This window comes from Homo sapiens, chromosome 17 (assembly GCF_000001405.40).
Source record: "Homo sapiens chromosome 17, GRCh38.p14 Primary Assembly".
NCBI classification, from domain to species: Eukaryota; Metazoa; Chordata; class Mammalia; order Primates; family Hominidae; genus Homo; species Homo sapiens.
Genome location: NC_000017.11, coordinates 28,591,377 through 28,618,421, shown reverse-complemented (window position 1 = coordinate 28,618,421; position 27,045 = coordinate 28,591,377). Strand labels below are relative to the sequence as shown.

Below are 27,045 nucleotides of genomic sequence, written 5' to 3'. Positions count from 1 at the left end.
AAATTAGCTGGGCATCGTGGTGCATACCTGTGGTCCCAGCTACTTGGGAGGCTGAGGCAGGAGGATTGCTTGAGCCCTGGAGTTCGAGCCTGCAGTGAGCTGTGATCACACCACTGCACTCCAGCCTGGGCAACAGAGTGAGACCCTGTCTCTAAAAAAGAAAATAAATAATTAAAAACATATATGATAGGCCGGGCACGGTGGCTCACACCTGTAATCCCAGCACTCTGGAAGGCCGAGGCAGGTGCATCACCTGAGGTCAGGAGCTGAAGACCAGCCTGGCTAACATGGTGAAACCCCATCTCTACTAAGAATACAAAAATTAGCCAGGCGTGGTGGTGCACGCCTGTGGTCCCAGTTGCTTGAGAGGCTGAGGCAGGAGAATCGTTTGAACCTGGGAGGTGGAGGTTGCAGTGAGCCGAGATCGTGCCACTGCACTGCAGCCTGGTGACAGAGCAAGACTCCATCTCAAAAAAAAAAAAAAAAAAAAGAAAATTGGGTGTGGTGGTGTGTGCCTGTAAGCCCAGCTACTCAGGAGGCTGAAGCAGGAGAATCGCTTGAACCCAGGAAGGAGATGGATGTTGCGGTGAGCCAAGATTGTGTCACTGCACTTCAGCCTGGGCAACAGAGTGAGACCCTGTCTCAAAAAAATAAAAATAAGATACAGATACAGGTGAGTTTGATCAGATGCTTCTCTTGTTGAGTAAGAAGATGATCCCTAGAAGTATGGCCCAGAGGCAAATAATCTTTCATGTCTAGCTTGGAATAGAATATTCTAATACTGACATTCAGCTTTTCTGCCATTGACGTAAAGAAGGCAGTATTATTTATTACTTTCTCCTACCAGAGGCGTTTGGAAATGAATTAGAACATTTTTTAATGTCACAATGGCTAGATAGTACTACCAGCATTTAGTGTCCTGGACAATAGTGCCCATGAGACACACTGGATTAAAGAGTGTTGATTGTATGAGTTTGAAGGAGATCTCAAGGTTGGGATTAGGCATATGTAGAGCCTGAAAACAAACTGGATACATAACAATTGTCTAGTAGACTTCTGAGAAAGGTTTATTATAGTAGATGGGGCAAAATCTGTCTTTATAGGTGAATAAGTCTGATGACACAGCAGAACATCTTCTGGAGTTGGGCTGGTTTACCATGAACAACCTCCTCCCCAATGCTGTCTATAAGGCAAGTCTTTTTTCCCCTTTCCTAGTCCATTTGCATGTTTTTAGCACGGGGCATTTATAACGGCCCTTCAGTATAAATCCACTATGGAAAACAATGTGGTGATCTGAGAGGGTGAAAGCTTGCCCAGCTTAGCAGTACCATTGCTTCTCCTCTCATTCTGCAGAGGATTTGTGGGTTGCTTTATGGCAGGAAGGACATTGGGTTGGGCTCTTCTTTACTCTCTATCCTACAGGTAGTACTGCGGCCCCAGAGCTCCTGCCAGTCTGGGCGACAGCTAGCTCTCCGCCTCTTCAGCAAAGTTCGGCCCCCTGTTGGGGGTATCTCTGTTAAGGAGCATTTTGAGGTTAGTAAGCAGTCCCTTAGGGACCTGGGAACAAGGGACATTCAAAAGCCACCTGTGTGTTACACGATATTAGGAGTAGGTAAACTGATGATGGTATCTGAGCTTAATTGCTTCTTGAATCTTTTTCCTTTTTAGGTAAATGTGGTGCCTCTCACCATCCAGCTGACACACCAGTTCTTCCACAGAATGATGGGCTTTTTCTTTCCTGGCCGAAGTGTGGAAGATGATGAAGTTGGTGATGAAGAGGATAAGTCCAAACTGGTGACTACTGGTGAGAACTTTTATGGTGGAGCCCCAGAAGAATAGGGTAGCAACCCCAAAGACAGCTGAGACTTCAGAACGAGGATGGATGACAGCTGGTACACTTGCTTTTTCATAGGAATACCAGTGGTGAAGCCTCGGCAGCTGATTGCAACAGATGATGCAGTACCACTGGGCCCTGGGAAGGGTGTGGCACAGGGTTTGACTCGGAGTTCTGGGGTCAGAAGGTCATTTCGCAAATCGCCAGAGGTACCAAACATGCCCCTGATGATAGAAAAATGGGAGAGTCTTGAGGTCCTGTTTGGTGTGGCTTGGGATTTCTTCGGTTTCCTCTAAGTCCATTCTAGGGATAAAAGAAGAGGGAGATGTTTGGGGTCCTGAGTTTCTTCTGATGGATTCAGGGCTCACACTCCTTGCCTGCCTTTCTTAGCACCCTGTGGATGACATTGACAAGATGAAAGAGCGAGCTGCCATGAACAACTCCTTCATCTACATAAAGATTCCACAGGTTCCACTGTGTGTCAGCTACAAGGTCTGCACCTCTCAAGCACTTTGTAGAACAGGGTGGGAAGGGAACCAGATAAGATCAGAGATTCTATACAGGGAGACAGCTAGGTTGTTTGTGATGCTGAGCTGTGGGTGATAAATCTGCTGTTCCCTCTGCTCCCCTCAAGAGTCAGCATCATTACGAGGCTGAGGTAAGGGGAAATCAGTATCTGTAGGTTACTATTGTAGGACTTGGCACTCAAGTGGCTGGCTGGGACTCAAAATGGCAGCTGATGTATTCCCCACCCCTCTTTTTTTCTTTCCCCTCCCCCTCCTCTTACAGGGTGAGAAGAACAGTGTGGACTGGGGTGACCTTAACCTGGTGCTGCCCTGTCTGGAGTACCACAACAACACATGGACATGGCTAGACTTTGCCATGGCTGTCAAAAGGGACAGCCGCAAAGCCCTGGTTGCCCAGGTATCCCGCCAGGGCTCATGGCTGTTTGGCTAATGGGGCTGGCAGGCAGATCCTCTTTTCAGGAGCCTTTCATTTTAGAATCCATGAATAAATATCCTTGGGAAGGGGCAGGTGCATGAAGTGAGTGGCTTCTATGCCTACCCTCTCCATGACCTCACTCAGATTATTAAATTCAGTGTTTACTGAGTGTTTCGTATAGCACCATTGATTTTAGGGAACTGAGAGCTAACACAACCTAAAGTTTAGAAGGGGTTATAATTAGACTGTAAGCTTCTTGAAAGCAGAGACCATTGTATGTGAATTGCCCCATTGTGCCTTGGATGTGTTTAATAAATCTTTATTGTCTTGGTTCATTTTGATTTATTCTGCCTGCCCACTAATATTTACATTTTCTTTTACTCCTCTCCAATCTGCCAGGTAATCAAAGAGAAGCTAAGGCTGAAGTCTGCAACAGGCTCTGAGGTCCGGGGAAAGCTAGAAACTAAATCGGACCTGAACATGCAACAGCAGGAAGAGGAGGAGAAAGCCCGGCTCCTCATTGGTTTAAGTGTGGGCGACAAGAACCCTGGCAAGAAGTCCATCTTTGGCAGGCGCAAATGATTTGGCGATTCGAGTGGCTGCAGTACAGGATCTGACTCTGGCTCAGGCTCCAGGGACTTGTGGGGTGGGAGGGGCTTCCCGTTATCCACGAGGATTTGTGGGTGTCAGAGCCCATAGGCATCACTCTTCAGCACCTGGTCTGTTCGCTGCAGGGCATGGTGGACAGTAATGCTGAGTTCTGTCTCACACTGATCAGGCTCAGGGCCAGAGAGGCAACAAGAGAGCAAGACCCAGGGAATGGGCCCAGGGCAGGACCCTATTCCCTTGGGGTCAAGTGAAAGGGTAGGGGGATAGTCCTGATCAAGTGTGATAAATTTTTATAGACATATATAAATATATATATATTATATATATATTTCTAAGTGTAACTGTCCTTCCTCTGTGCCAGGAAACGGGAGGGGGCTGATCCTCTGATCCTCACTCCACTGTCATGTTTGAAAGAGGTATTGGTGTTCTGGAGTGGGGGTCAACCCCTCCCCAGTCTCTGTGCTAAGTTCACTTGGGAGGATGGCAGTAGGAGCCAGGGCTGGCCATGGGTCCCCTACCCTTCCCCGTAGGATATACCCTGGAGAATGGCAAAATGATTTAAAGAGAAAAAAAAAGATATTTTAAATTTGATGCTCATTTTTGTGTGTGTGTGTTGAGTGCATGCATTCAATCTGTGTATTCCTCCCTCATCAACCCAGAACATCCTGCAGCTGCCACTCTGAGGGTGGCCCCTTCCTTCCTCTGCCCTGAAGCTGTATCACAGAAATTTCTAGTCCTAGTGTGACTCTGGCCCCATGCTGATGGGTTTCTGCAGACTGGAAGAGGCGGGGCTCGTGTCACGCAGCATCAGGGAGAGGAATTGCTTATATAACTGGGACAGCAGATTTAGCAGAGAGAGGAGGCAGAGGCTGGGAATGGGAGCAGTAAGCTGTCGGCAGGGGCAGCACACCCAGCAGGGGGAACACACCCGGGTGGCTGTCCCTCACAAGGTAGGCTGTGGGGCTCTGGCAGCCTACTGAGGGGAGGAGAGGGAGACATGGGCTTGAGTCCTGGGAAGTTCCTGGTTAGGAGCATGGAAGTGATTACCCAATGTGGGGGTGGGGCAGGGAGGCTGTACTATGAAAGCATCACAGCCCAATACTGAGGTGCAGGCTGTACTCTTAATGCGTCATGGTGAAAATGTCCAACAATTATTTTCCTAGAGGATTTGAATTGTGCCCAGGAAATCTGGGGCTTAGCACAAAGCAAGGGTAATGGGAATTTTGCCTCATGCTCAAAAATGTACCTCTAGGGGTTGAGACTTAAGGGGAGGGAGTGCCTAGTAAGATGGGTGGAACCTGCTATGCCTCAGGAGCAGAAAGTTTAGAGTGGCTCCCTTGGTTCTCAGCAGGGTGGCAACATCCGGGGTCCCTGGGCCCGAGGCTGGAAGAGCCTCTGGACAGGTTTGGGAACCATCAGGTCAGATCTGGAAGAACTCTGGGAACTACGGGGGCACCACTATCTGCACCAGGAATCCCTAAAGCCAGCCCCAGTACTGGTAGAGAAGCCTCTGCCAGAGTGGCCAGTGCCTCAGTTCATCAACCTCTTTCTACCAGAGTTTCCCATTAGGCCCATTAGGGGGCAGCAGCAGCTGAAGGTAAGTCAGTGGAATCCCTGAGTGGGGTCTCAGTCTTTGGGAGAAGTTAAAAATGACCAGTCTCAACTGGCCTGTTCTCCATTCCTCTGTACAGATTTTAGGCCTCGTGGCTAAAGGCTCCTTTGGAACTGTCCTCAAGGTGCTAGATTGCACCCAGAAAGCTGTATTTGCAGTGAAGGTAGGGGCGTAGATACCACATTAGTCTCTGTTTCCAATCTTGATTCCAGAGAGGTTGGGAGGAATAAACAATTCAATAGCACTATCTATGAGTCATCACTACTCTCCTTTTATAGGTGGTGCCCAAGGTAAAGGTCCTACAGAGGGATACCGTGAGGCAGTGCAAAGAGGAGGTTAGCATCCAGGTATGCACAGAGTCCTGGAAAGGATTGTGGGAAGAGCTAGGCCACAGGTAGGGAAAGTACCTTTCTTGCCCACCTTCTTTTCCTGGTTCTGCCTCATCCATCTGCTTCAGCCTAGTTTAACACTAAAGTAGATCCTGGGAAAAGTATCAGCTCTCAACACAGTTTTCCCATGTCCTACTAGGGAAATCTCTGAAGCATGTCCCAGTGTATTCCTTAGTATTTGCTGGTTCTAGGATTACCAGATAGTCAGTTCCAAATATTGAGTTCCTCTGAACTGAGAGGTGAGGCAGCAGTTCCCCCTCTGCACATCTGGGTAAAACCTGATTTCTCAGCTGCCTTTATTCTCAATGACCCTGTTCCTCCCTAACTTCCTGTTTTCTTTGTTCCTAGCGACAGATCAACCATCCCTTTGTACACAGCTTGGGGGACAGCTGGCAGGGAAAACGGCACCTTTTCATTAGTGAGTGACTGGACTCTCTCCTCATCCCCCAGGGTCTTTGTACCATGTTCCCCACCTGAGATTACCTCTTTGGCTTGTTCTGCCTTTGCTCTGTCCCCCTTCTCATGGCACCTCTCTGTCCCAAAGGGAGGGGAACAGCAGGTGGTATCAGTTTGGGCAGGAGGCCTACAATGCCTTGAGCCCAGGCATTGCAGCTCCCAAACATTGCCTAGACTTCTGGCAATGTATGTAGCTCCACACTGGCTTTGCAGTGTGTAGCTACTGCAGCACAGATCTGTACTCCCTTTGGTCGGCTGTTGGCTGCTTTCCTGAGGCTTCCATCCGTCTCTTTGCTGCCGAGTTGGTGCTGGTACTGTGTAAGTGAAACAGTGGTAAAGGAAATGGGGAGGGAAGATTTAAGTTCGGAAGAAGGAGAGTAAAAAATTAATATTAATAATGGAAGTTAAAGAATAGGATAGGGATGGGATGAGGGCTACTAGGGAAACTGGAAAGGACAGAAAAGCTGCAGCATACCCCATACTTGTTATCCACAGGTTATCTCCATGACTTGGGCATCATGCATCGAGATGTGAAGGTAGAGTTAAGTGCTTTTTTCCCTTTGTCTGAGAAAGAGTCTCAATAAGAAGTGCCAACAAGTCCAAGAAGTTAGGGAGCTGAGAACTGTAGACATTGGGGCCCCCATGGGTGCCAAGGATTTGGGGAAGGGCTCTCTGAGTATAGATTTGAGTGCTGAGTAGGGCATCACCTTCAGCTGGGGTGTATACATGATGAAAGAGAGTTGAAAGGAAGAGGAAGAATTACTTCTCACCTGTGATCTTTCAGATGGAGAATATTCTTCTAGATGAACGAGGTAAGTCTTTTTCCTTCCTTAGCCCCAGGATGAGAGGTACTTTGGTTTGGGAATAAATCATGGCTGATGATGGGTGGAACAGTGGTGCAGTTGCCTTACCTTCTTTCATAGGCCATCTGAAACTGACAGACTTTGGTCTGTCCCGCCACGTGCCCCAGGGAGCTCAAGCCTACACTATCTGTGGCACTCTTCAGTACATGGGTGAGAGAGGTTAAAGCTGATGGGTAAGCATTGGGCAGGAGGATAGCTAAAGGATGTCTGTGATGAGTATCTTTGAAATCTGTAGCCCCAGAGGTCCTAAGTGGAGGACCTTACAACCATGCTGCTGATTGGTGGTCCCTGGGTGTCTTGCTTTTCTCTCTGGCGACTGGAAAGGTGAGAGAATAGTAGTAGTTTTGGGCAGAGAAGAGCTTTGCCTTGTGGTGGGAAGAAGGAAGACCTTAGGAAATCTTGCCGTATTCCTACTAAGGAATGAACCCCTACCCCTACCTCCACTCCCTACCTCTTAACTCAGTTTCCAGTGGCTGCAGAGAGAGATCATGTGGCCATGTTGGCAAGTGTGACCCACAGTGACTCTGAGATCCCAGCTTCTCTTAACCAGGGCCTCTCACTCCTGCTCCATGAGGTAAGGATGAGCACTGCTTTCCTTCTTGGCTACGAAACCATTAATGCTCTCCTGCCTTCATTAAAGTGATTTTTCCCCATTCCTCTCATCAGTTTTTTTGAGGGGGCTCCAACTTAACTACCTAACTACTTGCCATCTAAGCTGTACTGAGTCACATTCCTAAGTTCCTGGTCCCCCAAATCTCCTCCCCATCTAGAACAGAGAGGTCCCTTCTGAGAGAGTGGAACACTGTACACTCATCTGAAAACTCACAAGCACAGCTCCTTATTCCCACCTTTGCCCCAAATTAGCCTCTATTTCTCCCTCTTTTACAAATCATCTACTCTTCAGGGTTCTTATTCCTACCCTCCACAGCTCCATGAACTTCTTTCTTCTTTTCCATCCTTTCTGTTCAGGCCTGTCCTGTCCTAGTCACTCATCCTTCATGCTCTATTTTCCTTCAGCTCTTATGCCAGAACCCCCTCCATCGTCTACGTTATCTGCATCACTTCCAGGTCCACCCTTTCTTTCGGGGTGTGGCCTTCGACCCAGAGCTCCTACAGAAGCAGCCAGTGAACTTTGTCACGGAGACACAAGCTACCCAGCCCAGTTCAGCGGAGACCATGCCCTTTGACGACTTTGACTGTGATCTGGAGTCCTTCTTGCTCTACCCTATCCCTGCTTGAGCCTCTCTACTGTAAATTGGGGCCCGGCTGGGAGCCTGAAGATCTCCATCCCTGCCTACTCAGTATGACCACCTTGATAATCCAGTTTGTTTTTATTTTGTAGCCTCTTACCGTTCTGCTCTCCTAGGCTTTAGACCAGAGTTCCAACCTGGACATTCTGCTACTGGCAGCCACAGCTGGCCCTATTCCTTCCCTATCATACAACCTACCTCTCAATTCAACATGTCAGATCAGGGTGGTGACCTTTTCCTTTTCTTTACTTCTCCAGTGCTCTTTACCCTCAGGCTGTCAGCCAGAGCTGCTTCTGCTTGTTTCTCTGCCATGTTTCCTTTCTTGAGCAATAATAATACTTCATGGGCTCCCAGGGTGCTATTGATGTGTTTAATAGGCTTGTCAGAAGCAATATGAATTTTTTTTTTTTTTTTGAGACAGAGTCTCACTCTGTTGCCCAGGCTGGAGTGCAGTGGTGCGTTCTCAGCTCACTGCAACCTCCGTCTCCTGGGTTGAAGTGATTTTCATGCCTCAGCCTCCCGAGTAGCTGGGATTACAAATGCACACCATTATGCCCAGCTAATTTTTGTATTTTTTAGTAGAGACAGGGTTCACCATGTTGGCCAGGCTGATCTCAAACTCCTGACCTCAAGTGATCGGCCTGCCTTGGCCTCCCAAAGTGCTGGAATTACAGGTAGGTGTGAGCCACTGCACCAGACCCTTTTTTTTTTTTTTTTTTTTTTTTTTTGAGATAGGGTCTCACTCTCGTCACCCAGGTTGGAGTGCAGTGGCACGATCTCAGCTCACTGCAACCTTCACAGGCATGAGCCTCCACACCCAGCCTGTGAATTTTTCAAAAGTCTCAAAAGCTGGCATTTCAACCCCTAAATAATGCAGCTAAAAAATATAGTCTGGGAGCTTGAGGCCAGTCTGCAATAAATCTAATTTTTAAAAATTGAAAAGTGAATAAAATAATCTAGTGAGGAAGAAAATAGAAACTGAAACATGGGTGGGTTAAATGTCTTCTCTAGGTCTATAATTGCAACAGTTATCCAAAATAAAACCTCTTTGAAAAGCATAGGATTTTTAAACTGACAATTTCTCCTAGTGAGCCCATGATTCAGTTTCTGATGGGCAAACCAAGAGATTAAGAGGCATGCATCAACCTTAAGATTTAAGGTTATTTGGGAGGCCAAGGTGGGCAGATCAGTTGAGGTCAAGAGTTCGAGACCAGCGTGGCCAACATGGTGAAACCTTGTGTCTACTAAAAAAATACAAAAATTAGCTGGGTGTGGTGTTGCACACCTGTAGTCCCAGCTACTCAGAAGGCTGAAGCAGGAGAACTGCTTGAACCCTGGAGGCCAAGGTTGCAGTGAGCCAAGATTGTGCCATTGAACTCCTGGGTGACAGAGGTAGACTCTGTCTCAAAAAAAAAAAAAAAAAAAAAAAAAAAAGATTTAAGGTTAGAGACATATCTCAATAACCTTTTCCTTTAGTAAGGAAAATCATCTGGACCTTAAATTTGTATACAGTTTTGGCCTTTATGACTTCTTTTCATTTTTCTTAAACTAATTTCTCACAATTTTCATTTTTGTCCTGAGACTTGAAGGGAAAGTAAGTTTTAATCTAGACCATATTATTTAGTTACATCTAATCTCTCTAGACAAAAGACAGTCTGGAGAGTACTCTTTAGTTCTATTTATTAATTTTGTCTCTAGATTGAGCCAGATTTCCCCATGCATAGCTGGCATTTTATTGGCCTCTGCAGAATTGCTTTTTCTGGATTGGACTTTGGTAATCCATATGAAAATCTCTATGAAATTTAATTGCTCGCCAGGTGTGGTGGCTCACACTTGTAATCCCAGCACTTTGGGAGGCTGAGGTGGGCGGATCACCAGAGGTCAGGAGTTCGAGACCAGCCTGGCCAACATGGTGAAACCCCGTTTCTCCCCAAAAAATACAAAAATTAGCTGGTCATGAGGGCACACACTGTAGTCCCAGCTACTCAGGAGGCTGAGGGGGAAGAATTGCTTGAACCCAGGAGATGGAGGTTGCAATGAGTGAAGATCGTGCCACTGCATCCAGCCTGAGCAACAGAGTGAGATCTTGTCTCAGGAAAAAAATAAATTTAATTGCTGTGGATACTGTAAAGGGTGTTTATCGTAACAGTTCATAATATTCTATTTAAGAATGCGTGGGAGAAATTTTCTCTGGACCCAGTTATGCTTTTCCTGAATTGCTGTTTGGTTTTTACCTTAAGGACACTAAATATTCAGCTGATTGTATTTTTCTGTTTGTACTGATACTAGACCATTTAGAGCCCAATTTGTGGTCTACCTTCAGCAAGTGTTTATGTATTTTGTATGCTAGTCATGTTCTTGGTTCTGTCTTCCTTTTCTACTTTTATTTTCCTTATTCTCATTTTTCTAAGTTTTAATCGTTTTATATTACTATAATATCTGCATCTTGTAAGCCTTTTTGTAATAAGGTTGGGATATAAATAAATAAGGCAATGTATCCTTTATCCTTTTATCTCATTTGTTTCTCTTTAGACACTTTTATTACTTTTTAAAAATTGTGATGACCAGAACTGCACACTGGATAAAAACTCTGAATACTAAAAATAGGAATTAATGGTTTCCAAAATAGTAGTTAAGAGCATTTGTTTGGAATTTAGGAGATCTGATGCCTGGATCCACCAATAACTATCTCATCGTCTTTTTTTTTTTTTTTTTTTTGGTGGGGATGGAGTCTTGCTCTGTTGCCCAGGTTGGAGTGCAGTGGCGCAATCTCGGCTCACTGTAGCCTCTGCCTCCCAGGTTCTAGCAATTCTCCTGCCTCAGCCTCGTGGGTAGCTGGGATTACAGGTGCATGCTACCACGCCCGGCTAATTTTTGTATTTTGAGTAGAGACGGGGTTTCGCCATGTTGGCCAGGCTGGTGTGGAACTCCTGACCTCAGATGATCCACCCGCCTTGGCCTCCCAAAGTGCTGAGATTACAGGCGTGAGCCACCACGCCCAGGCTCTCATCTTCTTTAATAAGTCATTTTAACCTCTCTGGATCTTAGTTTCCTGGTGTATAAAATGAGGGTAAAATAACCACTGGTTCTTAATTGTGGGGTATGGGTTCAGATTTCTGTGATGCTGAAATTTATTTATTTATATAAATAAATAAGGCAATTTATTCATATCCTTTCTTTTCTTTCCCCTTCCCCTTTCCTTTTCTTTAAGAGATGGCATTTCGCCATGTAGCCCAGGCTGGTCTGAACTCCTGGGCTCTAGTGATCCACCTGCTTTGGCCTCTCAGAGTACTAGGATTATAGGTGTGAGCCACTGTTCCTGGCCTGTGATGCTTTTTCTTTCTTTTTTTTTTTTGAGACTGAGTTTTGCTCTTGTCACCCAGACTGGAGTACAGTTTGTCACCCAGACTGGAGTACAATGGTACGATCTCAGCTCACTGTAACCTCCACCTCCCGGGTTCAAGTGATTCTCCTGTCTCAGCCTCCCAAGTAGCTGGGATTACAGGCGCCTGCCACCATGCCCAGCTAATTTTTGTATTTTTAGTAGACACGGGGTGTCACCATGTTGACCAGGCCGGTCTCAAACTCCTGACCTCAGGTAATTCACTCGTCTTGGCCTTCCAAAGTGCTGGGATTACAGGCGTGAGCCACTGCTCCCAGCCCTGTGATGCTTTTTCAAAGTGCAGATGCAGAGGATTTTATAATACTGTGTTAATTGATATTCAGGTCACCCAACATTATATGGCTTTTGTGGCCACAGCAGCACAGTGGGCGAAGGTCCTTAAGAAATGGTTAACATAATGTCACTAGGGTTTAAGGTCCTTAAGAAATGGTTAACATAATGTCACTAGGGTTTAAGGTCCTTAAGAAATGGTTAACATAATGTCACTAGGGTCTCTCTCCTAGGTCATATTAGTTTAGAGACCATAATCACGTGAATGTAGTTGGAATTACTTCTTACCAAATGAGAACATTTTCAACATACTCTCTTCAGTAGTCTACTTACAGCAGTGATTCTCAGGGTGCAGTGGAGGGGGTGACAGAAAAATCAAGGTTTTGGCTGGGCATGGTGGCTCACACCTGTAATCCCAGCACCTTGGGAGGCCGAGGTGGGAGGATCACTTCAGTCCAGGACTTCCAGGACAGCTTGAGCAACACAGTGAGACCTCGTCTGTATAAAAATATTAAAAAATTAGCCAGATGTGGTGGTCCTGTACCACCCAGCTACTCAGGAGGCTGAGGTGGGAGGATTGCTCGAGCTCAGAAGCTCCAGGTTATGATCATAACCTGAAGCTATGATTTGGCCACTGCACTCCAGTCTGGGTGACTGAGAGAGAGAGAAAGAAAAGAAAAGAAGAGGGCCAGGCGCAGTGGCTCACCCTTGTAATCCCAGCACTTTGGGAGGCCGAGGTGGGTGGATCACGAGGTCAAGAGATTGAGACCACCCTGGCCAACATGGTGAAACCCCGTCTCTACTAAAAATACAAAAAATTAGCCAGGCATGGTGGTGGGCACCTGGAGTCCCAGCTACTTGGGAGGCTGAGGCAGGAGAATCACTTGAACCTGGGAGGCAGAGGTTGCAGTGAGCTGAGCTTGCGCCACTGCACTCCAGCCTGGCGACAGAGGGAGACTCCGTCTCAAAAAAAAAAAAAAGGCCACGCCTATAATCCCAGCACTTTGGGAGGCCAAGGCAGGTGGATCACAAGGTCAAGAGATCGAGACCATCCTGACCAACATGGAGAAACCCTGTCTTTACTAAAAATACAAAATTAGCTGGGCGTGATGGCTCATGCCTGTAATCCCAGCTATTCGGGAAGCTGAGGCAGCAGAACTGCTTGAACCCAGGAGGCGGAGGTTGCAGTGAGCCAAGATCACGCCATTGTACTCCAGCAGCCTGGGCAACAAGAGTGAAATTCCATCTCAAAAAAAAAAAGTTTGAGAAAGTATAATTTTTATAATTTGAAAAAGCACGGAACCCGGGAGGCAGAGGTTGCAGTGAGCTGAGATTGTGCCATTGCATTCCAGCCTGGGCAACAAGAGAGAAACTCTATCAGAACAACAAAAACAAAAAATTAAAACAACATGAGAAAGTATATAAAATAGAGCTCTCCCTCTCCCTCTCCCTCTCCCTCCTTTCCACGGTCTCCCTCTCATGCCGAACCCTCTCCCTCTCCCTCCTTTCCATGGTCTCCCTCTCATGCCCAACCCTCTCCCTCTCTTTCCACGGTCTCCCTCTCATGCCGAACCGAAGCTGGACTGTGCTGCTGCCATCTCGGCTCACTGCAACCTCCCTGCCTGATTCTCCTGACTCAGCCTGTCGAGTGCCTGCGATTGCAGGCGCGCGGCGCCATGCCTGACTGGTTTTCGTATTTTTTTGGTGGAGACGGGGTTTCGCTGTGTTGGCCGGACTGGTCTCCAGCTCCTAACTGCGAGTGATCCGCCAGCCTCGGCCTCCCGAGGTGCCGGGATTGCAGACGGAGTCTCGTTAACTCAGTGCTCAGTGGTGCCCAGGCTGGAGTGCAGTGGCGTGATCTCGGCTCGCTACAACCTCCACCTCCCAGCCGCCTGCCTTGGCCCCCCAAAGTGCCGAGATTGCAGCCTCTGCCCGGACGCCACCCCGTCTGGGAAGTGAGGAGCGTCTCTGCCTGGCCGCCCATCGTCTGGGATGTGAGGAGCCCCTCTGCCTGGCTGCCCAGTCTGGAAGGTGAGGAGCGTCTCTGCCCGGCCGCCATCCCACCTAGGAAGTGAGGAGCACCTCTTCCCGGCCACCATCCCATCTAGGAAGTGAGGAGCGTCTCTGCCCGGCTGCCCATCGTCTGAGATGTGGGGAGCGCCTCTGCCCCGCCGCCCCGTCTGGGATGTGAGGAGCGCCTTGGCCCGGCCGTGACCCCGTCTGGGAGGTGAGGAGCGTCTCTGCCCGGCCACCCCGTCTGAGAAGTGAGGAGACCCTCCGCCCGGCAACTGCCCCGTCTGAGAAGTGAGGAGCCCCTCCGCCCGGCAGCCGCCCCGTCTGAGAAGTGAGGAGCCCCTCCGCCCGGCTGCCACCCCGTCTGGGAAGTGAGGAGCGTCTCCGCCCAGCAGCCACCCCGTCCGGGAGGGAGGTGGGGGTCAGCCCCCGCCAGGCCAGCTGCCCCATCCGGGAGGGAGGTGGGGTGTCAGCCCCCTGCCCGGCCAGCCGCCCCGTCCGGGAGGTGAGGGGCGCCTCTGCCCGGCTGCCCCTACTGGGAAGTGAGGAGCCCCTCTGCCCGGCCAGCCGCCCCGTCCGGGAGGGAGGTGGGGGAGTCAGCCCCCCGCCCGGCCAGCCGCCCCTTCCAGGAGGGAGGTGGGGGGTTCAGCCCACCGCCCGGCCAGCCGCCCCGTCCGGGAGGGAGGTGGGGGGGTCAGCCCCCCGCCCGGCCAGCCGCCCCGTCTGGGAGGTGAGGGGCGCCTCTGCCCGGCTGCCCCTGCTGGGAAGTGAGGAGCCCCTCTGCTGGGCCACCACCCCGTCTGGGAGGTGTACCCAGCAGCTCATTGAGAACGGGCCATGATGACAATGGCGGTTTTGTGGAATAGAAAGGGGGGAAAGGTGGGGAAAAGATTGAGAAATCGGATGGTTGCTGTGTCTGTGTAGAGGGAGGTAGACATGGGAGACTTTTCATTTTGTTCTGTACTAAGAAAAATTCTTCTGCCTTGGGATCCTGTTGATCTATGACCTTACCCCCAACCCTGTGCTCTCTAAAACATGTGCTGTGTCCACTCAGGGTTAAATGGATTAAGGGCGGTGCAAGATGTGCTTTGTTAAACAGATGCTTGAAGGCAGCATGCTTGTTAAGAGTCATCACCACTCCCTAATCGCAAGTACCCAGGGACACAAACACTCTGCCTAGGAAAACCAGAGACCTTTGTTCACTTGTTTATCTGCTGACCTTCCTTCCACTATTGTCCTATGACCCTGCCAAATCCCCCTCTGCGAGAAACACCCAAGAATGATCAATAAAAAATAAAATAAAATTAAATTAAAAAAAAAAAAAAGAGAGGAACCCACAAAAAAAAAAAAAAGAAAGTATATAAAATAAAATATTGAAGTCCTTTCCCATTAAAAAAAAAAAAAAAGAAAAAGCACGGACTCTTTCATCCAGTTCTGATGTGATTATCTCTGGAAGGCATTTTCTCCTCCTCTTCCCTCCACCTCCATTCAGAGTCACTGACTTATACCTTTTACATATTCACATGAAATTCACTTAATATATACACCTATATACTCACAAAAATTAAAAATTAAAATTAAAAAAATTCCTGGCCCGGCGCAGTGGCTCACGCCTGTAAATCCTAGCACTTTGGGAGGCCGAGGTGGGCGGATCACGAGGTCAGGAGATCAAGACCAGCCTGGCCAACATAGTGAAACCCTGTCTCTACTAAAAATACAAAAATTAGCCAGGTGTGGTGCACGTGCCTGTAGTCCCAGGGAGGTGGAGGTGGGAGAATCGCTTGAACACGGGAGGCGGAGGTTGCAGTGAGCCGAGACCACGCCATTGCACTCCAGCAGCCAGGGTGACAGTGAGAGTCCGTCTCAAAAAGAAAAAAAAAAAATTCCCTTAGGCCCAGTGCAGTGGCTTATGCCTGTAATCCCAGCACTTTGGGAGGCCAAGGTGGGTGGATCACTTGAGGCCAAGAGTTTGAGACCACCCTGGCCAACATGGTGAAACCCTGTCTCTACTAAAAATATAAAAATTAGCTGGGCATGGTGGTGTGTACCTGTAATCCCAGTACTCAGGAGGCTGAGGCGCAAGAATAGCTTGGGCCTGGGAGGCAGAGGTTGAAGCGAGCCGAGATTGTGCCACTGCACTCCAGCCTGGGTGACAGAGTGAGACTGTCTCAAAAAAAAAAAAATTTTTTTTTTTCATTTTTTTCAATATACAATCTGAAATGATCTTTTAAGTTTATATGCTCTGATTTTTTTTTTTAATCTAAAAGAAATCAGGACCAGGTGCAATGGCTCATGCCTATAATCCCTACACTTTGGGAGGCTGAGGAGGATTACTTGAGCCCAGGAGGTCGAGGCTACAGTGACCTATAATCAGCTTTGGGCAGTGGCAGTATCATAGCCAGTAAGGTTTATCCGAGGCACAATTATTACTGATTATTGCCAATTGAAACAGTGAGTTATGATCATGCCACTGCACTCCAGCTTGGGTGACAGAGACCTTGCTTCAAAAAAAGAAAGAGGTCAGGTGTGGTGGCCCACGCCTTTAATCCCAGCACTTCGGGAGGCTGAGGCAGGTGGATTACTTGAGGTCAGGAGTTTGAGATCAGCCTGGCCAACGTGGTAAAACCCTGTTTCTACTAAAGAAATATAAAAATTAGCCAGGTGTGGTGGCACGTGCCTTTAATCCTAGCCTGGGTGACAAAGCGAGGCAAGACTCCGTCTCAAAAAAAAGAAATCTGATAGACTTCACTTGTAATGGATATTTAATTCTATATTTCATGTTATCTTTTGTAAGAATTTAAGATTAGTCAACACCAATCCTATACTCCTCTAGAAAAGTATCTTTGTAGCTCTACTCATTATTTCTTATCTCTAACCTAAGTTACTTTATTACATATTAATCTGTTCATTTGTTCACTTGCTCATTGATGTAATAAATTAGTAATCTCAATTTATTGGTTACTTGTTTGATAGAGTCTTCAATGTAGAAATGTTGTCAAAGCTTTTTTAAAAAAATTTAAATAGGCCAGGTGCAGTGGCTCACGTCTGTAATCCTAGCACTTTCAGAGGCCGAGGCGGGCAGGCAGCTTGAGCTCAGGAGTTGGAGACCAGCTTGGGCAACATGGTGAAACCCCGTCTCTACCAAAAACACAAAAAGTTAGCTGGGCATGGTGGCATGCACCTATGGTCTCAGCTACTCAAGAGACTGAGGTGGGAGGATTGCTTAAGCCTGGGAGGCAGAGGTTTCAGTGAGCCAAGATCAGCCAAACCACTGTGCCTGGCCCACATAAGTAATTTTTAATTTGCTAGTATCCACATTCAAAAAGTAAAAAGAGGGGCCGGGTAGAGTGGCTCATGTCTGTAATCCCAGCACTTTGGGAGGCTGAGGCGGGTGGATCTCCTGAGCTCAGGAGTTCAAGACTAGCCTGGCTAACATGGTGAAACCTGTCTCTACTAAAAATACAAAAATTAGCCAGGCGTGGTGGCACATGCCTGTAATCCCAGCTCCTTGGGAGGCTGAGGCAGAAGGATCGCTTGAGCCTAGGAGGTGGAGGTTGCAGGGAGGTGAGATCGTGCCACTGCACTCCAGCCTGGGCAACAGCGCCAGACCATGTTTCAAAAAAAAAAAAAATTAGATTAAAAAAAAAAGTTTAAAAAGGCTGGGTGGGGTCGTTCATGACTGTACTCCCAACACTTTGGGAGGCTGAGATGGGAGGATCGCTTGAGCCTAGGAATTCAATACCAGCCTGGGCAATATGGCAAGAGACTGTCTTTATAAAAAATTAGCCAGGCGTGGTGGCACATGCCGGTAGTCCCAGCTACTCAGGAGGCTGAGGCAGGAGGATTGCTTGAACCTAGGAGTTCAAGGCTGCAGTGAGCCATGATTGCACCACTGCACTCCTGCCTGGGTGATAAAGCAAGACCCTGTCTCAAAAGAAAATTAATTTTAATGTATTTTATTTAACCCAATATTCCTAAAATATTTCAATATGTAAACAGTATTAAAAAAAAAAAATATATATATATATATTTTTTTTTTTTTTTGAGACAAGGTCTTGCTTTGTCGCCCAGGCTAGAGTGCAGTGGGATGATCATAGCTCACAGCAGCCTTGAACTAGGTTCAAGCGATCCTCCCAAGCTGGGATTATAGGTGTGTGCCCCCAACCCTGCCACCCCTGGCTTAACTTTTTTTTTTTTTTGAGACGGAGTCTAGCTCTGTCACCCAGGCTGGAGTGTAGTGGTGCCATCTCAGCTCACTGCAACCTCCGCCTCCCAGGTTCAAGAGATTCTTCCTGCCTCAGCCTCCCAAGTAGCTGGGATTACAGGCGTGTGCCACCACACCTGGCTAATTTTTGTATTTTTAGTAGAAACGGGGTTTCGCCGTGTTGGGCAGGCTGGTCTCGAACTCCTGACCTCAGGTGATCCGCCTGCCTCGGCCTCCCGAAGTGCGGGATTATAGGCGTGAGCCACCGTGCCCGGCCCAAATTTTTTTTTTGTAGACATAGGTCTCACTATATTGCCGAGGCAGGTCTCGAACTCCTGGGCTTAAAGGATCCTCCTGCCTCTGTCTCCTCCGTGCTGGGATTACAGGCATGAGCCACCGCACCTGGCGATATTTTGCATTCTTTTTTTCATACGACGTGTTTGAAATCCAGTTTGTACAGTGTTTTACATTTATAGCACATTCCCACTGGGACTAGTCACATCTGAAGTGCTCAAAAGCCACTATGGCTAGGGCTAACGTACTGGACAACACAATGCTAGAGGAGCCCGTCCCTGAGGACGCTGCAGTTTATAACATCATAGTTCCTCCTCTTTGGACTGCTGCTTTCCCCCTATGTATTAAGACTTGCAGAGTGTAAACAGGGCGCCGTGAGTGTGCAAAGCACACACACCTTCGCAAACGGCTCACTCTGAATACTGACCTTTCGGCTGTCCTACCTTCAACAGGTTTCCCGTGCATAGGAGATCCAAGACAGCAGAAGGCAGGAGCTGGCGGGACAGGGAGGAAGAGCGGCTCTGCCGTTTACTATCTGTGTGACGCTGAGCAAATTACACACGGTCTCTCTGACTCAGCTCCTTCCTGTCACAAATGGGGATATTTATAGTATTTCTCACTACGTAGGTCCTTATGCGCATTAAATGAGCTACTACACGGCATTCGGCATAGCGCCAGGCACACACTCAATGTTCAATACATGTAGGCGGTTAGCCCAGTAAACTGGTAGCCGGCCTGAGTAAGTCCCAGGAAAAGCCCAGAAACTCTGGAGACATTACAGCCCAGGTCGAGAACCACGGCCCGGGCCGTCCCGGACGCGGGCCCACCAAGCCTAGGGAAGCCGCTCGGCACCGCTTCGGCTTCTAGACTCCCTGGCCGGCTCTTTCCCGTCAAGGCTGCGGCTGGAGAGGACTGAGGGAGACCTAGGGAGAGGATTCCTCTTCTCCATCCACGGAGACAACTTGGATATGAACACCATGGATGTGAGGAGGTCCGCTGGAAGCAGGAGGGATGGACTCCTGGACTCTCCAGCTACCTGCGTGGTCCTCCCCGGTGTGAGGACAGAAGACCGGTCCTGGGCCGGGCCCGCATCCAGCCCTACCGCCGGTGTCTGAGGTGAGGGCTCCGTCAGCGGAAAACGCTCGACAACGGAGGGGCAGGCAGGGCCGGGGGCGTGGTCAACGCGGGCCCCGCCCCCCGGGCTCTACCCCCGAGCGTACGCGCGCGCCTGAAGCAGCCAACCAGGAAGCGCAGAGCAGGTTCAAACACAGACGGCGGGTGAACATGGCGTCCTCGACTTGGTCTGAGACGTGATAGGCCTGCCTTCTGGTTGAAGATGTGGCGAGTGAAAAAACTGAGCCTCAGCCTGTCGCCTTCGCCCCAGACGGTAAGCGGGAGATCTCTGGCGGAGAGAACTGGGCCGGGCTGCTGTCGCGGGGGCACCGGCCGTGTCTACTGTCCTGGAAAGTTGGGTCGAGCCCGGGGTTGGGGGCTTGTGGAGTCTTTGTTCGCCTTGCTGCTCCTGCGCGACTAGGGTGCGAGCGTACTCTTCTAATCGCATTTTGGGCTTCTTAGGGAGGGAGGAGGGGCGGGCTGGCAGAACCCAGGCTTCCTCACACTCGCCCTCTTTCTTGGTTTCTTTCTCAGGGAAAACCATCTATGAGAACTCCTCTCCGTGAACTTACCCTGCAGCCCGGTGCCCTCACCAACTCTGGAAAAAGATCCCCCGCTTGCTCCTCGCTGACCCCATCACTGTGCAAGCTGGGGCTGCAGGTGAGATTCGCCTGGACAGCTTCTCGACTGGGCTGTTTGCCCAGGGTGAGAGCTCAGGGGAACAGAGGGCCAGGGCTACAATAATTAATAACGATAATGAAGTCTTCTACGTCGGTGACATCCATTTACAGCTATTCAGGCCAACAGAGAGGTGCCCTAGGGTGGTTAAAGGAAATCCAGTGAGAACTTGAATCTCTGTTTAGCTGTTAGTTTTTATTACCTCCTCCTCCTCCCTTCGACCTTTATCAAACTATTGAGAAATCCTACCACCCTGATTAGTGCTCTTCCTCCAACATGGGGTCACTTACGGAAAGGTCAGTCACCTGCAAGATTGAGGCAATATCCATTTACTCTAGGAGGTAGTTAGAACTCTCCTGGGATCAAGTTACACCACTGGAAGGTAGGGTACTTGAATCACCTTAGTTTAAACTAGCTCCTTGCAGAATTGCCCTCACTGATTTGTACTTTTGTTAAACGTTTTGAGAGACGTAGCCATGTAGAAACTGCATTTCAGTTGCTGTCAAAACTTGTCAAGGAAGCAGCTTGACTCCTGTATAAGATTCCTCCAAGAAAGGCTTTAGGACTAACTGCCTGGAAAAATTGTCTTCCTGAAGAAATTGCTATCCTTTTCTTTCTGATAATGAGAACTATGTAGTTTACCATATTTTCCCTCTTGCTCTGCCTTCTAGAAAGCTCAAGGCCAAACTGGATCATCACATACAGCTACTGTTATAGCTGTATAGGAAGTTTTGCTTCCTCTTTTTTGACCATGACTTTGTTATTTCATTAATCGTATCTATTCATTTTCATGCATATGAATTATTTTTGGAAGGAGATGGGATATCAATAAAATAGGTATGAGGAGGAAAGAAGAGTGTATAGACAGATGACATCCTGAGTAACAGAAGTATGATGATAGCATAGCAGTCTTTCTTGAAAGAGTTGCAAAATACCTACTGTCCAATAGAACTTTCTGGGATGAGGGAAATATTTGATAATCTGTGCTGTCCAGCATGGTAACTACTAGTCACATGGTTATTGAGCACTTAAAACGTGGCTGAGGTGACTGAAGAATTGAATTTTTTTGTTTTTGAGACGGAGTCTTGCTCTGTCACCCAGGCTGGAGTGCAGTGGCGTGATCTTGGCTCACTGCAATCTCCGCCTCCAGGGCTCAAGCGATTCTCCTGCCTCAGGCTCCTGAGTAACTGGGATTACAGGTGCACACCACCACGCCTGGCTAATTTTTTGTATTTTTAGTAGAGACAGGGTTTCACAATGTTGGCCAGGCTGGTCTCAAACTCCTGACCTCAAGTGGTCCGCCCGCCTCGGCCTCCCAAAGTGCTGGGATTACAGGTGTGAGCCACTGTGCCTGGCCTGAATAATTGAATATTTAATTTAATTTAATTTAATTAATTTTTTTTTGAGATGGAGTTTCGCTCTTGTTGCCCAGGTTGGAGTCCAATGGCGCGATCTCGGCTCACCGCAACCTCTGCCTCCCGGGTTCAAGCGATTCTTCTGTCTCAGCCTCCGGCATGTGCCACCACACCCAGCTAATTTTTGTATTTTCAGTAAAGACGGGTTTCTCCATGTTGGTCAGGCTGGTCTCGAACTCCTGACCTCAGGTGATCTGCCCGCCTCCGCCTTCCAAAGTGCTGGGATTATAGGCGTGAGCCACTGTGCCCGGCCTGAATTTTTAATTTTAATTTCAATAGCTACATGTGGCTAGTGGCTATCATATTAGACAGTACAGCTTAAGATGAAAAATAAATAAGTACTAGGTGGAAATTAGCTCTATAGAGCTTATAGAATTTATTATGATTATTAATTAATTAATTAATTTTGAGATGCAGTTTTGCTCTTGTTCCCTAGGCTGGAGTGCAATGGCACGATCTTGGCTCGTTGCAACCTCTGCCTCCTGGGTTCAAGCGATCCTCCTGCCTCAGCCTCCCTAGTAGCTGGGATTATAGGCACGTGCCACCATGCCTGGCTAATTTTTGTATTTTTAATAGAGACGGGGTTTCGCCATATTGGCCAGGCTTGTCTCGAATTCCTGACCTCAGGTGATCCGCCCACCTCAGCCTCCCAAAGTGCTGGGATTACAGGTGTGAGCTATGGCGCCCAGCCTGAACTTATAGAATTTAACCATAATTATTTAATCACAATAGCAGAATACTAGATTGAAATCGAATTCTCCTTCCCTCTTAACTGCTGGGCTTACTACCTCCAGATGCAGTCAGCTACACAATGAAAAGGGTTTTTCCCCAATAAAATAGCAATTATTTTTGTTTTGTAAAAATTTTTTTTTTTTTGAGAGTCTCACTCTGTTGCCCAGGCTGGAGTGCAGTGGCACAATCTTGGCTCACTGCAACCTCTGCCTCCCGGATTCAAGCAATTTTCCTGCCTCACCCTCCCAAGTAGCTGGGATTACGGTGTGTGCCACCACGCCTGGCAGATTTTTTTTTTGAGACGGAGTCTTGCTCTGTCACCCAGGCTGGAGTGCAGTGGTGCCATCTAGGGTCACTGCAACCTCCGCCTCCCAGGTTCATGCAATTCTCTTGCCTCAGCCTCCTGAGTAGCTGGGATTACAGGCATGTATCACTACGCCCAGGTAATTTTTGTATTTTTAGTAGAGACAGGGTTTCACCATGTTGGGGGTCAGGCTGGTCTTGAACTCCTGACCTCGTGATCTGCCTGCCTCAGCCTCCCAAAGTGCTGGGATTACGGGCGTGAGCCACCGCGCCCGGCCTAATTTTTTTTTTTTGAGACAGGATCTCACTCCTTCATCCAGGCTAGAGTGCAGTGGTGTGATCTCGGCTCACTGCAACCTCTGCTTCCCGGGTTCAAGCAATTCTCCTGCTTCAGCCTCCCCAGTAGCTGGGATTACAGGCGCGTGCCACCATGCCTGGCTAATTTTTTGTATTTTTAGTAGAGGCGGGGTTTCACCACATTGGCCAGGCTGGTCTCAAACTCTTGACCTCAAGTGATCCACCCTCCTTGGCCTCCCAAAGTGCTGGGATTACAGGCGTGGGCCACTGCACCTGGCCTGTTTTGTAAATTTTTGATTATTAATAGATATTAATTGTTTGAAGCATTTGAATATATAAATGTATAAGGAAGAAATATTTCTGGTATCTTAGATAAATGTCATATTTGACAGTTCTTTCATACATCTCTTTATGTGTGTCTATTTTGTATATATGCACACACACACACACACACTCATCTTTATATTGTCTTTTTTTTTTTTTTTTTGAGAAGGAGTCTTGTTGTATCGCCCAGATTGGAGTGCAGTGCCGCGATCTTGGCTCACTGCAACCTCTGCTTCCCAGATTCAAGCGATTCTCCTGCCTCAGCCTCCCGAGTAGCTGGGACTACAGGCACCCGCCACCATGCCCAGCTAATTTTTGTATTTTGAGTAGAGATGGGGTTTCACCATGTTGGCCCAGCTGCACTCGAACTCCTGACCTTGTGATCTGACCGCCTCAGCCTCCCAAAGTGCTGGGATTACAGGTGTAAGCCACCATGCCCTGTCTTTTTTATTTTTTTTTTTGAGACAGGGTCTTGCTCTGTTACCCAGGCTAGAGTGCAGTGGTGTGATCTTGGCTTATTGCAACCTTGAACTCCTGAGCTCTAGCAGTCCTCCCACCTCAGCCTCCTGAATAGCTGGGACTACAGGTGTGAGCCATCATACCTTTTAATAATTTCAAAATTAAAGTAAGATACATGAAATTACAATAAAACATAACAGCATAACAAATTACTATAAAGTACACATCCATGTAACTAATACCCAGGTCAGTAAGTAGGACAGTACCAGAATATCAGAAGCCCTTTTTAACCTAACCTTGGTTTTGTTTCATCCACTAATATAAATGAGAAATTTCATATGTTTGATTATTATTATTATTATTTTTTGAGACGGAGTCTCGCTCTGTTGCCCAGGCTGGAGTGCAGTGTCACGATCTTGGCTCACTGCAAGCTCCACCTCCCGGGTTCACGCCATTCTCCTGCCTCAGCCTCCCAAATAGCTGGGACTACAGGTGCCCGCCACCACAGCCAGCTAATTTTTTGTATTTTTAGTAGAGACGGGGTTTCATCGTGTTAGCCAGGATGGTCTCGATCTCCTGACCTCGTGATCCGCCCGCCTCAGCCTCCCAAAGTGCTGGGATTACAGGCGTGAGCCACTGCGCCCGGTCTGTTTGATTATTTTTTTAATAAATAATTGGACTTTCTATCTAAAGCTTCCAGAATAGTTTTTTCTTCATTGTAGCACAGAAATTTTATAATTATGTGTCTAGCATGTATCTTTTCTAGTCAGTCCTGCTTAGAAACTGGTGAGCCATTTTAATGTGCAAACTCAGGTCTTTCATTAGGGTAGTTTTCTTCTAATATTTGTTAATCAGCGCCTCATGTATATATGTTCTCTTCTGGAATTTCTTTTATTTAACTGTTAGGTATCCTGGGTTTATCTTCTAATTCTCTTAGCTTTTTCTTCAGATTTACATTTCTTTATATTTTTATCTTTGCTTTAAGATATTTCTTCCACTTGTCCAGGCCAGTAATTCTAGTTTCAACTCTAATAATTTACTCTTTCAATTCATTTTACTGACATTTTTTATTTAAAATAATATTTATTATTTCTAAAATGTCTTTGTGTGTGTATTTATGTTGTAGTTAAAGCTTAAGTACTCGTTTTTTTTGTTGTTGTTCAGATTATCATCTGTGTCTTCCAGCAGCTCTGTTTTGTTAGGGTCTACCTTTTTTATTTATTTATTTATTTTTTTTTGAGACAGGGTTTTGCTCTGTCACCCAGGCTGGAGTGCAGTGGCACGATTTTGGCTCACTGCAACCTCTGCCCCCTGAGCTTCAGTGATCCTCCCACCTCAGCTTCCTGAGTAGCTGGGACTACAGGCACACATCAGCACCACCATGCCCGGCTAATGTTTGTATTTTTAGTAGAGATGAGGTTTGAACTCAAGCGATCCACCTGCTTGTGGCCTCCCAAATGCTGAGATTACAGGCGTGAGCCACTGCGCCCAGCCGAGAGGGAGAAGAACTTGTACCAACTCTAGATTCTGACAGAGCTTAAGCCTTCACTCACACCCTATGGACCCCTCCTATCTGTTCATCTAGAAGTGCGTTAGAGTTCAGAATGGAGATGAGTGGGGTCACTTTCAAGCTACCATCTGCCCACGATATGGATCTATATTCTCAGCCTGTTTATAATGTAGGCTGGTTCACTTGGAAGGACCCAAAATGGCTTAGCAGCTTTTCTTTCCCTACTATTGGGTCTCTATATGAGCAACAAAGATTAGCCAAGTTCTTACCTAAGCAGAGGTAGTAAGAATTCTTTTCTTTTTTGAGTGCACTATCTTGCACCTGTAATTGTATGTCGGGAACTGAATTGACTGCCTTAGACAACTACTTTTGTTTCCTTTGGCAGGAAGGCAGCAACAACTCATCTCCAGTGGATTTTGTAAATAACAAGAGGACAGACTTATCTTCAGAACATTTCAGTCATTCCTCAAAGTGGCTAGAAACTTGTCAGCATGAATCAGATGAGCAGCCTCTAGATCCAATTCCCCAAATTAGCTCTACTCCTAAAACGTCTGAGGAAGCAGTAGACCCACTGGGCAATTATATGGTTAAAACCATCGTCCTTGTACCATCTCCACTGGGGCAGCAACAAGACATGATATTTGAGGCCCGTTTAGATACCATGGCAGAGACAAACAGCATATCTTTAAATGGACCTTTGAGAACAGACGATCTGGTGAGAGAGGAGGTGGCACCCTGCATGGGAGACAGGTTTTCAGAAGTTGCTGCTGTATCTGAGAAACCTATCTTTCAGGAATCTCCGTCCCATCTCTTAGAGGAGTCTCCACCAAATCCCTGTTCTGAACAACTACATTGCTCCAAGGAAAGCCTGAGCAGTAGAACTGAGGCTGTGCGTGAGGACTTAGTACCTTCTGAAAGTAACGCCTTCTTGCCTTCCTCTGTTCTCTGGCTTTCCCCTTCAACTGCCTTGGCAGCAGATTTCCGTGTCAATCATGTGGACCCAGAGGAGGAAATTGTAGAGCATGGAGCTATGGAGGAAAGAGAAATGAGGTTTCCCACACATCCTAAGGAGTCTGAAACAGAAGATCAAGCACTTGTCTCAAGTGTGGAAGATATTCTGTCCACATGCCTGACACCAAATCTAGTAGAAATGGAATCCCAAGAAGCTCCAGGCCCAGCAGTAGAAGATGTTGGTAGGATTCTTGGCTCTGATACAGAGTCTTGGATGTCCCCACTGGCCTGGCTGGAAAAAGGTGTAAATACCTCCGTCATGCTGGAAAATCTCCGCCAAAGCTTATCCCTTCCCTCGATGCTTCGGGATGCTGCAATTGGCACTACCCCTTTCTCTACTTGCTCGGTGGGGACTTGGTTTACTCCTTCAGCACCACAGGAAAAGAGTACAAACACATCCCAGACAGGCCTGGTTGGCACCAAGCACAGTACTTCTGAGACAGAGCAGCTCCTGTGTGGGTAAGCGCCCCTATGTCCTTGCACCTCGTGAGTTCCATTACCCTGGACCTTCCCCTCCCATCCCTTCCCCTCCTTTTCTTTTCGTCATGTTCTTCTCTTTCTGCTGCAGCCGGCCTCCAGATCTGACTGCCTTGTCTCGACATGACTTGGAAGATAACCTGCTGAGCTCTCTTGTCATTCTGGAGGTTCTCTCCCGCCAGCTTCGGGACTGGAAGAGCCAGCTGGCTGTCCCTCACCCAGAAACCCAGGACAGTAGCACACAGACTGACACATCTCACAGTGGGGTAAGAAGGTTCCTCTCAAAGCTTGAGGGATCCCAGTGGGGATCCTTGGAATTTAAGCTGAGAAGCTGCCAGAGGGCAAAGGGGACTCCTATCACAGGCTTATACTTAGAACATTTGCAAAAGCTGAGAATCTGGGCAGTCACAATGGCTGATGCCTGTAATCCCACTGCTTTGGGAGGCCAAGGTGGGAGGACTGCTTGAGGCCAGGCATTTGAAACCAGCTTGGGCAACACAGCGAGATCCCATCCCTACAAAAGATTTTTAAAAAATCAGCTGGATATGGTTTTGCATGCCTCACTACTCAGGAGGCTGAGGCAGGAG

General features: G+C 47.7%; 3 protein-coding genes and 1 long non-coding RNA gene across 9 annotated transcripts in view, besides 5 other annotated features; 3 read left to right on the top strand and 1 right to left on the bottom strand.

The window, feature by feature from the left end:
• Positions 1-3,982, top strand: part of BLTP2 (bridge-like lipid transfer protein family member 2) — a 30,720-nt gene extending 26,738 nt beyond the window's left edge. For 4 of the 6 annotated variants that reach the window (NM_001363826.1, NM_001363827.1, NM_001363828.1 and 1 more), the window contains 7 exons: positions 1,104-1,190; positions 1,423-1,533; positions 1,669-1,804; positions 1,913-2,043; positions 2,225-2,326; positions 2,624-2,758; positions 3,176-3,982. In NM_001363826.1, coding sequence (NP_001350755.1) covers positions 1,104-1,190; positions 1,423-1,533; positions 1,669-1,804; positions 1,913-2,043; positions 2,225-2,326; positions 2,624-2,758; positions 3,176-3,358 — 885 coding nt within the window. In that variant the 3' untranslated portion in view covers positions 3,359-3,982. The remainder of the gene's footprint in view (positions 1-1,103; positions 1,191-1,422; positions 1,534-1,668; positions 1,805-1,912; positions 2,044-2,224; positions 2,327-2,623; positions 2,759-3,175) is intronic. The other 2 variants (NM_001321560.2, NM_014680.5) reach the window with 1 other exon arrangement.
• On the bottom strand, positions 1,045-19,289 carry SPAG5-AS1 (SPAG5 antisense RNA 1). The gene is made up of 3 exons (NR_040012.1): positions 19,176-19,289; positions 18,567-18,724; positions 1,045-2,137 (listed from the first exon to the last, which is right to left on the bottom strand). It is a non-coding gene; the product is annotated as an SPAG5 antisense RNA 1 (long non-coding RNA).
• On the top strand, positions 4,237-10,459 carry RSKR (ribosomal protein S6 kinase related). The gene is made up of 12 exons (NM_001174103.2): positions 4,237-4,335; positions 4,734-4,982; positions 5,077-5,160; positions 5,276-5,344; positions 5,735-5,804; positions 6,056-6,160; positions 6,338-6,378; positions 6,627-6,654; positions 6,766-6,855; positions 6,941-7,029; positions 7,169-7,279; positions 7,723-10,459. The coding sequence occupies exons 1-12, from the start codon at positions 4,261-4,263 to the stop codon at positions 7,942-7,944; spliced, it is 1,233 nt and encodes a 410-aa protein (NP_001167574.1). The 5' UTR covers positions 4,237-4,260; the 3' UTR covers positions 7,945-10,459.
• Positions 5,873-7,072: an enhancer, noted in NCBI's record as "BRD4-independent group 4 enhancer chr17:26938368-26939567 (GRCh37/hg19 assembly coordinates)". NCBI's record gives its function as "activates an origin of replication core promoter dependent on BRD2, P300/CBP, MED14 and CDK7 cofactors, and independent of BRD4, by STARR-seq in HCT116 cells {active_cell/tissue: HCT116}" and the evidence as "EXISTENCE:reporter gene assay evidence [ECO:0000049][PMID:35650434]".
• Positions 18,887-18,966: an enhancer, noted in NCBI's record as "active region_11934". NCBI's record gives its function as "activates an Ori minimal core promoter by ATAC-STARR-seq in GM12878 lymphoblastoid cells {active_cell/tissue: GM12878}" and the evidence as "EXISTENCE:reporter gene assay evidence [ECO:0000049][PMID:35858748]".
• Positions 19,177-19,486: a silencer, noted in NCBI's record as "silent region_8345". NCBI's record gives its function as "represses an Ori minimal core promoter by ATAC-STARR-seq in GM12878 lymphoblastoid cells {active_cell/tissue: GM12878}" and the evidence as "EXISTENCE:reporter gene assay evidence [ECO:0000049][PMID:35858748]".
• Positions 19,177-19,735: a biological region, named in NCBI's record as "NANOG-H3K27ac-H3K4me1 hESC enhancer GRCh37_chr17:26925705-26926249".
• Positions 19,191-19,735: an enhancer, noted in NCBI's record as "NANOG-H3K27ac-H3K4me1 hESC enhancer chr17:26925705-26926249 (GRCh37/hg19 assembly coordinates)". NCBI's record gives its function as "activates a minimal SCP1, AML or CMV promoter by ChIP-STARR-seq in primed H9 embryonic stem cells {active_cell/tissue: H9 hESC(primed)}" and the evidence as "EXISTENCE:reporter gene assay evidence [ECO:0000049][PMID:30033119]".
• Positions 19,397-27,045, top strand: part of SPAG5 (sperm associated antigen 5) — a 21,452-nt gene continuing 13,803 nt past the window's right edge. Inside the window, exons 1-4 of the mRNA NM_006461.4 lie at positions 19,397-19,526; positions 19,787-19,912; positions 25,356-26,440; positions 26,550-26,724. Of these exons, the coding sequence (NP_006452.3) occupies positions 19,476-19,526; positions 19,787-19,912; positions 25,356-26,440; positions 26,550-26,724 (1,437 nt within the window). The 5' untranslated portion in view covers positions 19,397-19,475. The remainder of the gene's footprint in view (positions 19,527-19,786; positions 19,913-25,355; positions 26,441-26,549; positions 26,725-27,045) is intronic.

Bases quoted from the DNA above. Each gene is read 5' to 3' on its own strand.
- RSKR (NM_001174103.2), top strand. From the start codon at position 4,261: ATGGGAGCAGTAAGCTGTCGGCAGGGGCAGCACACCCAGCAGGGGGAA. The intron at 5,161-5,275 runs GTAGGGGCGTAG...CTCCTTTTATAG, and splicing joins AAGCTGTATTTGCAGTGAAG to GTGGTGCCCAAGGTAAAGGT. The intron at 6,856-6,940 runs GTGAGAGAGGTT...TGAAATCTGTAG, and splicing joins TGGCACTCTTCAGTACATGG to CCCCAGAGGTCCTAAGTGGA.